Source organism: Homo sapiens, chromosome 6 (assembly GCF_000001405.40).
Source record: "Homo sapiens chromosome 6, GRCh38.p14 Primary Assembly".
Lineage (NCBI taxonomy): Eukaryota > Metazoa > Chordata > Mammalia > Primates > Hominidae > Homo > Homo sapiens.
The window spans coordinates 57,852,886-57,866,927 of NC_000006.12; the positions used below are offsets into that span (position 1 = coordinate 57,852,886).

General features: G+C 39.7%; 1 long non-coding RNA gene and 1 other non-coding gene across 2 annotated transcripts; both read right to left on the minus strand.

Moving 5' to 3' along the window:
* Positions 1–3,005: 3,005 nt before the first annotated feature.
* LOC101927268 (uncharacterized) lies at positions 3,006–13,825 on the minus strand. The gene is made up of 4 exons (XR_007059623.1): positions 13,163–13,825; positions 10,080–10,178; positions 6,506–8,495; positions 3,006–3,726 (listed from the first exon to the last, which is right to left on the minus strand). It is a non-coding gene; the product is annotated as an uncharacterized LOC101927268 (long non-coding RNA).
* TRA-AGC12-3 (tRNA-Ala (anticodon AGC) 12-3) lies at positions 3,516–3,588 on the minus strand. The gene has a single exon. It is a non-coding gene; the product is annotated as a tRNA-Ala (tRNA).
* Positions 13,826–14,042: the final 217 nt, after the last annotated feature.

Here is a 14,042-nt window from a genome sequence, read left to right on the forward strand (position 1 = left end):
AAGTTATTTCTACTTTGTAATCATAAAGTATGCCCTTTTGAGCTATTACTGGTTTGATGAAAAGGCAATTGGCATGACAAATTTGTAATAAATAGAAGTCATCAGCTTTTCCCAGTGGCCTGTCATGATCCTATAGTGGTTAGTATTCTGCATTGTGGCTGCAACATCTGTGGGAATCTGAATATGACAGCCTGAAATCTACTGCTTTTTTAATTAATCCCAGAAACGAATTCTAAGGCTTTAATGCAGAGCTAGGTTTTGTGTTATTTAGAAGATATATAAAGAAAACCTTCTTTGACTCCTTTCTAGGCACTGATTATCAAACCAGACAAGAATGAGAAAGCATGAATTTTTACAATCCATTATCCTTCAGCTTCCCTTTTCTTTCCATCTCCACTCAAGGTATCCACAGTTACATTTAAAAATGAGGAGCTATCCAGATGCCTTGCTCAAAGGTATTTGCAAAGTCTCAGAAGAATAAAACAACAGGTTTTGAAGGTGAATTAACAATGATTTTGTTTTCTGAGAGTGTGCATAGGATTGAATTCCAGGAGTAAAGCTGCGAGAGAGGCCAGCTTTTTATGAAGGGCTTTGAATGTCAGGATAAAATGTTTAAGCACTGTAAGCAAAGTTTGCTGGTAAATGAATTTAGGAGACACTGTAACTGAATTTGCATTTCAGTACCATTCCAATAGGGCACAGAGTTGAGAATTGAGTGCAAAGATCATGAGGAAGGTCAGGGTATTACCATAATGGTCTAGGCAGAGAAAGTATACATCTTTAATAGGGCAAGACAATGGAGTTAGACACCTTCATTCATTCAACAAATCTTTATGTGGGGGCATATGGCATGCCCCTAGGCTCTGGGGATGCAGAGTGCCTGTCTGAGGATTCAGCCACTGAATGGTTGCTAGATGGTCACGAGTATGAGGCGCTTTAAAAATTTAATCTCATGTGGAATTACATGGGGGAGATTCCAAGGAACCACTTGCGCTGGTGCGTCCGCGGCCGTCGCGAGGCGTCCGTCCTTCCCCGAGGGCGAGCGCCGGGCAGGCAGGGACTCGCCACCCGCAGCCCTGGAGCCGGGCAGTGAGCGCCTGCGCGGCGCTGCGTCGCTGTCCAGGAGATGTCTGCGCGGGAGACCCAGCTAAGCCTTGTGCGGCTACCTCCTCCTGGCTGATCCCAACCCGGTCCCCCAGCCACTCGATAGAAACACGATTCACATCGTCCCCGTTCCTGAGTGAAGGTCTCGTCTCCCACGACCTGCTTCGCCTCGCTCGTGATGATTTCCTACACTTGACTAGGGTTCCCGGTGCATTCGGCCCTCCCTCCTTAAGCTTCTGTCCTCTATCCGTTATGAAATCGTGTAACTTGTTTGGTGTGAACTGAGACAGCTGAACTTCGGAAGAAATTAGGCAGGATTCCCTGAAAAATGTGTGTGTGTGTGTGATTATATATATATAACTGCTCCTTGCGGAGCAGGGCTAATCTGGTAGCGTGCCCAGAGTAATCAAAATTTTTGTTAATTCTCAGGAGGGAGCATTAAAACAAAGAGCCAAAAGTTCTAAAACGGGGGACTTTTCACTCGAAATGGGCAGATGCAGAAGATACCATTAGTCAATTTGTACCAGATTCTTGATTTATTCCCTTGTAAATCTTTTCCAGCCTTCTTCACCTTCCTCCACCCAATCTTTCTCAGGTGTGTTATGATCCAACAAGAGTAATAATGCAAGTTTTATGAAGATCTCCTTATAAAGAAAAGGTTTCAGAAATATTGCTGTTTACTTTTTGATATGTGGATGATAAACAACACCCCATCTTTCCAGAACACAAGTAGGGGGGACTTCAAGCTAGCAGTTGAATCAGGAATCTTCTGATACATTATGCTTTGCATCATTGGCTCTGCTTAAGTCAACATGGTTTTTCAAAAAAATTGTTTTGTGTTAAATTTTATTTGTAAAACTTTCTACCAAATTAAGATGTGCAGATTAAATAAAATTTCTAAATGTGGTTGATAGCACTTGGCCTCCCTGCCATTTGTCTGCTCTCAGCTTTCCAGCTGAAAAAAATGAAAAGATTCATGGTCTTCTTGAAGTGTCATTCGTTCAATTTCCTGCCAGCCTCGGGTCCTTGACCTCAGTGGTGAGGAACGTGAAAGCAGCAGATGATGGAGATTTTAGGATTTTGTTGCTTGAAAAGGAAACCAGGTGTCAGGGACCGGTATGAACAAATGAAATAACAGAAACACTGGCAAATCCTATCAGGCTACTCATTCTCAAGAGTAGTGTTCCTTTCTGTACTTTTAGTGTACAGAGTATTCATCTCAATTGTGACTTTTATCAGAATTGTAAACAGCTGTTTGCTCAACTGTCTTCCCTACTCCATTGTAATATTCCTTGAGGGCAGCACATTCAGTGTCTACAAAAACTAATTTTACCTTAAAATTATGCACACATGCATGTAGGGTTGAGTGAGAAAAAATGCTTGCAAGAATCAGGAAAAAGTTTTAACTTGTAAAACAGGTAGGCTCACAGGTGTATGATCCTATGCTATTCCAACCCATATGTTTAAATGAAAAAACAGCGGACTGCTATATACAAAAGTGGTTTTCTGGGTTCTTGGATATAATAACTTTGTGGCTCACAATGGCTCTTATATCCTTAAGGCAGGAGAGAGTTGGGGCTGGGCATGTGTCAATTAAATCTAAAGCCACTGACAGACCATAGGGCTAGGCTGGAGCCAGTGGCTGAGAAGTTGGCCTCCTAAGTGAGGAGAATGTCTAATTTGCTGACAGGAAAGCAAAAGCTCAGTGAACCAAGTGCACGCCAGACAGACATTTTTCATACCTTTTATATGGCTGGTTTGAGTTAATGCCAGTGATTAGGATTTAGAACACAAAACCCACCAAACTTCTTTATGAAATATTTAGCACAAAGATCTCTACATTACTAGAAAAAACTCAGGAAACTCTTAGCAATAGCTCCACAACATTAAAAACACTCAACTGGCTTTTAAAAAGTAAATTTATTACCACACATAATCAGTCCAGAGAGTAGAGAGATTCCATCATGTCATCAAGACCCATGATAAATCTTTAAACATTTTGATTTTTTTGAACTTTACACTGTCACTCTCAACATATGGGTCTCATACTTTGGCTGGTTCCTCTGCAGTGCCTCAAACTCTGTCCCCTGAGCAGAAAGCCGGGGCTGTATTTACCCAAGTGGCTCTGCCCTGCACTTTTCATAATTGTCTCACATTTAGGACAAAGCTGCAGGTAGAAACAGGGAGAAAAGAGCAGTTGTATATGTCCCTTGGTTTCACAGCTCCTCAAAGAAACAGAGAATTAATTACATGGTAGATCTACACTATACTGAATGCCAAGAGGGAGCCATCACCAGCCCTCTATTATTGCTGCTCCTACGTCTTGAACCAAAGCAGCATCCTGTTCTCAGACACTAACTTGGGTTTGGAGACCTGAGTGTTTGGAGACACGATGTCTAAATAATAAAGCTTGGAGAATGTGGGCATCGATCCCACTACCTCTTGCATGCTAAGCAAGCGCTCTACCACTTGAGCTAATTCCCCACATCAGGGGAGCATTATTTATTGTTAGCGGGTGGCCTGGAACACAGGTGATTTCGGGGCCTTCAGCAGGAAAGCAGGGCTCTAAGAGCAGATCTTCTCATTGATGGGCCAGGGCAAACAGCAGTGGCTACTCATTCTCTGCAAAGAAGGAGGAGAAAAGGGAACAAGGAGAAAGTCACAACGGGAAAACTTCACGCTGCCAAAATGTCAAGTTTAGAGTATTCCGGGACAGAAAAGGGCACGTCCCAGCAAAGGAGGACCTGCCTAGACCTGCCCAGGTAAAGCATCACAGATTTTTAAAAAATGATTAAATACTTAAAAATGATTAAATGATTTTGTGTGTGTGCGTGTGTCTGTGTGTGTGCGTGTGTGTTTATAAAAGTGGGACCAGAAACAACTGTAACTGTCTTGCTGCTTTTTTTCCTCCTGTGGCCCAGTCATCTAGCTTTTCCCTTCTTCAGAGATCTTAGTCACTCTTCTTTTCCGCAGTCTCCTTTGTTGATAAGAAACAGAGGTGGTGCTCAATTCATGATAGTTCACTGAGTGACCAACTGAATGAATGAAGGAAGAAATAGCCTTCCAAGGTGCCTCCCATTCATACTACTCTTACTGTGTATCTACACTTGCATCTATATGACTGGAGACATTCACTCAACAAAAAACATAAACTGAACTTATAATCATATCCTCCCTGTTTTTTCCCCAATTTTTTGTGCCATGAATTATACTAGGAGACTTAGGGAGTTTACTTGATGTAGTCTGACTGAATTTTGCCAAAAAAACTATGTCTTAGTCTGCACTTCATGCACTTTTTAGAAGTAACAGAGGCTCAGATAAGTTAAGTGTTCCTAAGGTGCCAAAGCTGCTAAGTGGGAAAGCCTGAACTAAGAAGCAGATATTTTTAGATTTTAAATGTGATTTTTTCCCTCTGTACCAGCTCAGTTATTCTGCCCGTTCTTTTGCACTTTAGCCCATTCATTCATACAACAAATATCTAATTCCAAACCTCTTCCTTACTTACTTTTTGGGCTTAACTTTTTTTTTTTTTTTCAACAGAGTGTCACTCTGTTGCCCAGGCTGCAGTGCAATGGTAAGATCTTGGCTCACTGCAACCTCTGCCTCCCGGGTTCTAGTAATTCTCCTGTCTCAGCCTCCAGAGTAGCTGGGACTACAGGTGCCTGCCACCATGCTTGGCTAATTTTTGTATTTTTAGTAGAGACGGGGTTTCACCATGTTGGCCAGGCTGGTCTCAACCTCCTAACGTCACGTGATCAGCCTACCTTGGCCTTCCAAAGTGCTGGGATTACAGGCATGAGCCACCCCTCCTGGCCTGGGTTTAACTATTTTATTTTATGACAGGGTCTCACTTTGTTGTCCAGGTACCGGTGCGTTCTCTGTTCACTGCAACCTCCACCTCCTGAGTTCAAGCGATCCTCCCACCTCAGCCTCCTGAGTAGCTGGAACTACAGATGCATACCACCACACCCAGCTAATTTTTGTATTTTTTGTAGAGACAGGTTTTCACTGTGTTGCCTAGGCTGGTCTCAAACTCCTGGTGTCAAGGGATCCACTGATCTCGGCCTCCCAAAGTGCTGGGATTACAGAAATGAGCCACCACGTCTGGCCTTGGGCTTACCTTTCAAGTCAACTTTGATTCATTGTCTTCCTTCAAACACCACATTCAGTGATTAGTCAAATAATGAACATTATTCTTGCACAAGTCTTTTGAATCTATCAATTACTTTCTACTCATTTAGTACATATTCACTGGGGAGATGCTCTGTGCCAGACACTGTAGTAAGATCAGGTAATTCAGAGGAAGTACAGACACCCCAGACCTCAAACGAAGACAAGATAAATATGGACAAGGGAAGATCCACCTCCAGATTCACCATTTTCAGTCTTTCTGTCATTTCCAGCTAAATAACGCCTTCAAAAATGTTTCAAAATAACTAAGTCACTATTTCAAACTCTTTCAATAATAGCACCCTTCTATATGCTGGACTACTCTTAATTTTCTGATTATAACATGATCTTGCTTTTCTTTTAATTTTTGTCTTTGCTTTCTACCTGAATTTTTATTTTGCATTATGAAATTGATAGGTCCATTACTGGATGGCATGGTTCAATTCTCCAGTATGTCTGTTGATTTGTGTTCTACTAAATCTTCCAATTACTGAGAGAGGAGTGTTAATGACTGCAACTATAACTGGATTTTTCTATTTTAACTTGGCGTATCCAATTTTGTTTATGAGTTTTGAAGCTCTGTGTCCTCATATACATTTGGGACAATATTCTCCTGAAAAATTGACAATCATAATTATTTAGGAGGCCTCATTATTCCTGAAAAGTTTCTCTGCTTTCAAATCTACTTTGTCTGATTTTATATATATACACCACAGCTGTCTTTGATTAATGCTTGCATGAGGTATCTTTTCCCACTCTTTTCTTTCAAGCTGCTATATAACTTTTATTCTTATTTATAAGTGTATTGTAGGTGGCTTTCTTTAGTCAGCATATTTATTTTTAACACATTCTGATGATCTCTAGTTTTTACTTAATGCATTTAGATAATTTACGTATAATGCTATTATAGATAAGTTTTTAGATAGATCTACTATTTAATAATTTATTAACCTTTTTTCCCTTTGTTTTAATTCTTCTATGTTCCTCTGTCTATCTTGTTTTGGTTTATTTCAATCTGGTTGGTAAGTGGTCTAGGGATTACCATATACATATATAACTTTTCACAGTATACTTAGAATCAATATTTTACCATTCAAGTTGAATATAGAAACTTCATCAAGAGTTAGTCCCATTACATTTACCCTTTTATCTTATGTATGTAGTACATCTAGATACAATGACAACTGCATCAGATAAAGTTACAATTTTTGCTTTCAACCATCAAACATACCTTAAGGAACTCAAGAGAAGAATAATAGTCTGTTATGTCTACCCAGACATTTTCTATTTCTGCTTTTGTTCCTTCACTGATGATGTTCTAAGTTTCCTTCTGGTATCACTTTTCTTATCTCAAACCTTTGCTAATTCTTTTCCAGCAGTTTTGCTAGGACTGAGAATGTATTTATTTACCTTCCAATGAGAATGTATTTATTTGCCTTTATGTCTGGAAGATACTTTTGCTCCACATACCATTCTGGGTTGATAATGTATTTTTCCTTTGGTACTTACTGAATGTTATGACATTTTTTTCTGGCTCCTGGGTTCCTGATGAGAAATCTACAATCATTCATTTGGTATTTTATCTTTTATTTCCCTTTGGCTGCTTTCAAAATTGTTTTGTATTTTCTTAATTTTCCGCAGTTTGATTATGATATGTCTTGCAATGGGTTTCTCTTGGTTTATCCTGCTTGACATTTACTGAACTTTAAAAATCTGGTTTATATCTTTTGACAAATTTGATATATTTTCAGCCATTAATTCTTCACAGTTTTATCCCACAAAGACCTCTTTGTCCTCTTACAATAATGTGAATGTTTCCAGATTACAATAATGTGAATGTTAGATTTGTTATTTTTTATTTGTCCCTGAGCCTCTGTTCAGGGACAATAAAATCCTCCTTTCTTTCTATAGGTCAGATTATGTAGGTATTCTTGTTCTGTTTTCAAGTTCATTGACTCTTTCCTTAGTCTTTTGCATACTGCTATTGAGATCATCCAATTAAGCATTTTATTTCCCCTAATAGTTTTGGTTAATACTTTTTTTAATTCTTAAGTTTAAATTGGTGTTTACATATTCCAAATATTTGGTGAGACTTTCCAACTTTCCATTCACTTCATGAATGCTATCCCGTAATTCTAGGAGCATTGTTATAATAACTGCTTTAATGTATGTGTCAGATGATTTTGACATATGTGTCCTCTCAATATTGTTATTCAAGGATTCTCTTTGCCATGTGAGTTAAGATCTCCCTGGTTTTTCATAATGCTGAATATTTTGGGGCTTGTAACCTGGACTTCTTTGGATTATGTGATGAGACACTGTGTCTTGTTGAAATCTTAAGGATAATATTGATATTTTTGTTTTTGCAGGCACACAGTTGCCTTGTATTTAAGCTCCAAGTACCAACCAGACTTCCATGTGTTGTCGTTTCACAGATAACTCTATTTGAAAGCCTTGACACTGCGGTTGAGAGATCTCTGGAGTGTGTGCAACCAGTGGTCAGTGAGGACTGGAAAGTGGACCATTGTTCAGTTCAGTCCTCAGGCTCTTTTTAGGTAAGTTGTTTGGGATTAGAGCCACTTATTCACAGCTGGCAGGTGCATCCACAAGCTCATGAACAACTTTATGGGTTTGCTTTCTACAGTATCTGTCCAGGCACATTCTAGTTACTTGACACATCCTGGTTTCAGTCCTCTCACCAGAAAGCCAGGGCTGTATTTACCCAGGTGGCTCTGCCCTGCACTTTTCACAGTTGCCTCACATTCAAGCTACAGGCAGAAACAGGGAGAAAAGAGCAATTGTTTATGTCCCTTGGTTTCACAGCTCCTCAAAGAAGCAGAAAATCAATTACACGGTAGATCTACACTATACTGAATGCCAGGAGGGAGCTGTCACCAGCCCTGTATTGTTGCTGCTCCTACATCTTGAACCAAAGCAGCATCCTGCTCTCTGACTTGGGTTTGGAGACCTGAGTGTTTGGAGACCCAGGGTCTAAATAATAAAGTTTGGAGAATGTGGGCATCGATCCCACTACCTCTTGCATGCTAAGCAAGCACTCTACCACTTGCGCTAATTCCCCCACATCAGGGGAGCTTTACTGATCCTTAGTGGGTGGCCTGGAACACAGGGGATTTCAGGGCCTTCAGCGGGAAAGCAGGGCTCTACTAAGAGCAGATCTTCTCACTGATGGCCCAGGGCAAGGTGCAGTGGCTACTCATTCTCTGCAAAGAAGGAAGAGGAAAGGGAACAAGGAGAAAGTCAAAAAGGGAAAACTCACGCTGCCAAAATGTCAAGTTTAGGGTATTCCGGGACAGAAAAAGGCACATTCCAGGAAAGGAGGCCCTGCCTAGACCTGCCCATCTAAAGTGTCACTGATTTTTAAAAAATGATTAAATAATTAAAAATGATTAAATGATTTTGTGTGTGTGTGTTGTGTGTGTGTGTTTATAAAAGTGAGATAGTATTATCACTTGTTCCTTGTAGCTGAGACTCTCTGGGGGTTGTGAGATGGTACAGATTTCTGGAAGGCAAAAAGCTCCTGTTGTTTTCATAACTAGGCCCTCTCAGGAATGAAGCCAGCGTGCTGACCACTACCTTAGGAAACCCCTGGAGAGTGCTTCTTTCACTTGCATCTGAGATATAGGTTGCCTCCTTGCTAAGGTGTGTCATGTACAAGTTACATGTCCAACTATATCTAAGAACAACAACAACAAAATTACAGAGCAGAGCCATAAAGAGACAAAATCATATCAGAGTGTAAGAATATGTAAAATATTAGAGTGTAAGAATCAAAATTGAGCTATGCAGAGAAGGAGTGGACATATGGTGGAGAAAACCGGGCTGTTTGTAGGAATTCCTGTGTGAAGAAATAAAGCTGTTCAATTTAAGTGCTGTGTGTGTGTGTGTGTGTGTGAAATACACATGGAGGGAAGCAGTGATTGAAAAGCCTGGCCACTTGGAGATATGTTGGGAGAGTTTTATGAAAACTCCCAAGAGTAATTGAAAAAATCCCAGGCAGAATGCTTAAATAATTAAAGCAACATGTTAGAGAAAGGTGTTTAGTTTTCAATGTCAGAGCTTGAACATGAGAAAATAGAAATTGAAGAGTAAGAGAAAGAAGTCATAAAGATATTAAATGATTGAGTTTTACCCGCATTTATCGTGTCAGCTCCCGAGGTGGACAGCAGGAGTCTTTCTGCAGCGTCAGTGCCCATCACACTTCATGCTGCAGAATACATCCTCCATAAACACCATAGCATGGATGATGACAGAGGTGAATGGAAAGAAAGAAGAACATTCTGGTGATGTTGTGCAGGAAGGATCTACAGTATTTGTCAAGACATTGGGTGGAGAGATTTGAGGGAGAGGAGACAAAGACATTGGGAAGTCTTGAGCCTAGTGTGGTAGACACAAAAGAGATTCTGAATTAATAGCTGATGAATGAATCCACTCATTTATTTGTATTTGTTATGTGAATGAATGTTACATGAATGACCTGGCGTGGAGAAAACAGATGGTGAGACTATGTGCTAGGGTAAAGCAAGAGCTCAAGTTTTTTGTTTTTTGTTTTTTTTAATTTAGAAAAAAATCTGCTTTTCATATCTGGTTTTCCTATTTAAAGCTATGTGATTTGAGAAAAATGGTTTAACTCCTCTGAGCTTTAGTGTCATCTACAAAATTTGGATAATGATACTGAGGGAAGCTGAAAAGCCGTATCAACCAACTTATACAAAAAATAATAAACATTCACTTCCATTTCTAATGCATGGTGTTGAAAAAGTCCTTGTATGTGGAATATTGTTCACCTTTAAGGAACCTGCTCTCAAGAGCTGATGAGGGACTTTTTTTAGTGCAGTTCTGTTGTCACTGGCTGTTAGGCTCATTTAGTTGGCACCAACAAATCTCTGTGAACATAAAAATAAAATAAAATAAAGATTGTGGAGGAATAGAATACAAACACATAGTAAGGTGAGATTTGCACAACAGAGTATAGTAAAGGATGTGTGCCTGATTCTTTTTGCATTCTCTTTGAATCATTTTTAGCCTTTACTCTACAGTCCCCAATTATTGTCATCCTTCTCCCAACAAGATCGTTTCTCTCCACCACAGATATTCTGGTCAGGCTCTCTGGTTAACCATCTTGATGTCCTGAGCACTCTGTTTGTACTGAGACTCTGATTTATGTTCAAATGATGCTCTTCCATAGCAAGGCTTCCTGCTTTGCCCAAAGACCATTCAATTTTTCAAGCAATTTAGGGCTCCTTCCTCACCCAGTATCTATGTGAAACCTTAAAGGGAAGCCTATTCTTTCCAGGAAGATAGTCCTGTTGTGGTTTTAACCTCAATCTGTAAATTTGCTGGGGTAACTGGGAAAGAAGTCATAAAGATATTAAAGGATTGAGGTTTATCCACATTTACTGTGTCAGCTCCTGAGGTGAACAGCATGAGTCTTTCTGCAGCTTCAGCCCCCATCACACTTCATAGGTGAAGAAAACATCCTCCATAAACACTGTAGCATGGATAACAGAAGGAAAAGATTCTGGAGAGGTTATGCAGGAAGAATCTACAGTATTTGTCAAGACATTGGGTGGAGAGATTTGAGGGAGAGGAGACAAAGGCACTGGGAAGTCTTGAGCACAGTGTAGCAGACACAGAAGCGATTTTGAATTAGTATCTGATGAATGCAAGAATAAATCCACTTATTTATCTGTATTTGGTAAATGAATGAATGTTACATGAGTGAGCTGGTGTGAAGAAAACAGATGATGAGACTATGTGCTAAGTGAAAGCAAGAGCTCATGATTTTTTCATTTAGAAAGAAATCTGCTTCCCATATCTGGTTTCCCTCTTTAAAGTTATGTGATCTGAGGAAAATGGTTTAACTGCTCTGAGCTTCAGTGTCATCTATAATACTGTGGTAATAATACTTGGGGAAGCTGAGAAACTATATCGACCAACTTACATAAAAATTAATAAACAGTCAGTATAGTTTCTAGCACATAGTGCTGAAAAAGTCCTTGAACGTGGAGTATTGTTCACCTTTAAGGAAAATGTTCTGAAGGTCTAAGGAGAGATATCAGTGCAGTTTTGTTGCCATTGGTTGATTTGCTCATTTATTTTGTAGCAACAAACTTCTGTGATGATAAAAATGAAATAAAGTTTAAAAAGTAAAATAGATGGTGGAGAAACACAATAGGGATGTATAGTAAGGTACGATTTTCTAGGCAAAATGGATTTGTACAAAAGAATGTAGTAGTAAAGGATTTGTGCCTGATTCTTGTTGTATTATTTTTGAATCTCATTTAGCCTGTATTCTAATTCCCCAGTTGTTGTAATCCTACCCCCAACAAGATTATTTCTTTGCACCATGAACATTCTGGTCAGATTCTCTGCTTAACCATCTTGACTTCCTGAGCACTCATGTTTTTACTGAGACCCTGATATAGGCCCAAATAATGCCCTTCCATAGGAGGGCTTCTTGCTTTGCCCATAGAGCATTCAATTTTTCAAGCAATTTAGAGCTCTTTCCTCACCCAGGGTCTGTATGAAACCTTAAAGAGAAGCCTGTTCTTTCCAGGAAGAGAATTCCAGTGGGTTCTAACCTCAACCTATAAATCCACTAAGCAAGCTCCTACTGAACACCTATGATGCAAGCTCAATCCAAGAGGCCAGCACTCCACAGGGGGAAGGCAACCGAAGCAGTAGCTAATGCTTACTGAGCAGTTCTTATTGATCAGATCCATCTCTAGGTGCTGTGATCCACCCAAAAATATCCCACAATCCTTATTTCCCATGTAAAGAAAGAAGATTGAAAGAAAGGGAAGCTAAATGATAGCTTCAAAGTGACAACTTCCCTGACTCTTCTACTGAAAACTGAATGTGTCACCTCCACACTGCTGAGTCCTTTACTGCCTAATGAGTCCCTCCCAGTAGATATCATCACATGACTTCTTGTTTTTCTTCTTTGCTTCCTGTCTGTTTCTCCCCACTCCTTGCAACTATGACGTAGTATCACAAAGGTGAGAATATCTGTGTTTTATTCACTGTGAATTACTGTACCCAAAACAGTCTCTTAACAAGGTATGCGCTTGAGAAATATTTGTTGGATGATTAAAAGAATAAAAGAGTTCACCCACCCCACCCGATAATTATGTTTGGATGACCTTCAGAGCAGACAGTTGGAAGAGAAATTTCCCCTGCTTCCCTTGTCAGCTAGAGAGGTAGACATTGACATAGCTTGTAGTTTCTTGTGTAATTTATATCTCTTCACCACGCCTTGTATTCAAACCACTAAGAAGCCAAAAGAAGGAAAAAGAGAAAAAGAAAGAAAGAAAGAAAGAAGAAAGGAAGAAAGAAAGGAAGAAAGAAAAAGAAAGAAAGAAAGAAAAAAGAAAGAAAGAAAGAAAGAAAGAAAGAAAGAAAGAAAGAAAGAAAGAAAGAAAGAAAGAAAGAAAGAAAGGAAAGCTCATTTTTAAATTTTAAGCTAATATTTGGACTGTCTTGAAATCATTATCTCATAGCATTTGTGTTCCATTATTTATCACACCTATTTCATTTCCCTTAACGGAAAGAGCGGCAAAAGCTGTACCTTGTCTGATGTTCAAACTCAGGACCTTCAGAATACGAGATTGACAGGCGGCCTGCTGCTCTAAGAGAGCAACTGTTCCTAAGAGCTGAGATCCAGATTATTAAATCTCATTTCCCACGCACTGCTGCTTTATCAATTCCTAGCTTTTAAAGAACACAATCAATGCTACTTGGAAATCACTCCTTATCAGCCAGTGCTGCACTGGAAGAATTCCCCACTCAGGACAGGTGGAGTCCACCCGTTTCCAGTATTCACATAATGATAGGACCTTCTGGCTTGAGGGACCAGAAACAATTGTACCTGTCTTGCTGCTTTTTTTCCTCTTGTGGCCCAGTCATCTAGCTTTTCCCTTCTTCAGAGATCTTAGTCACTCTTCTTTTCCGTAGTCTCCTTTGTTGATAAGAAACAGAGGTAGTGCTCAATTCATGATAGTTCATTGAGTGACCAACTGAATGAATGAAGGAAGAAATAGCCTTCCAAGGTGTCTGCCATTCATACTACTCTTACTGTGTATCTACACTTGCATCTCTATGGCTGGAGACATTCACTCAACAAAAAACACAAACTGAACTTATAATCATATCCTCCCTGTTTTTTCCCCAGTTTTTGTGCCATGAATTATACTAGGAGACTTAGGGAGTTTACTTGATGTAGTCTGACTGAATTTTGCCAAAAAACTATGTCTTAGCCTGCACTTTATGCACTTTTTAGAAGTAATAGAAGCTCAGGTAAGTTAAGTGTTCTTTCTAAGGTGCCAAAGCTGCTAAGTGGGAAAGCCCAAATTGAGAAGCAGATATTTTTAGATTTTAAGTGTGATTTTTTTCCTCTGTACCAGCTCAGTTATTCTGCCTGTTCTTTTGCACTTTAGCCCATTCATTCATACACCAAATATCTAATTCCAAACCTCCTCTTTACTTACTTTTTGGAGTTTTTTTTTTTTTTTTTTTTTTTTTTTTTTTGACAGAGTGTCGCTCTGTCACCCATGCTGTACTGCACTGGTGAGATCTTGGCTCATAGCAACCTCTGTCTCCCGGGTTCAAGTAATTCTCCTGTCTCAGCCTCCTGAGTAGCTGGGACTACAGGTGCTTGCCACCACGCCCAGCTAATTTTTGTATTTTTAGTAGAGACGGGGTTTCACCATGTTGGCCAGGCTGGTCTCAAACTCCTGACCTCAGGTGAT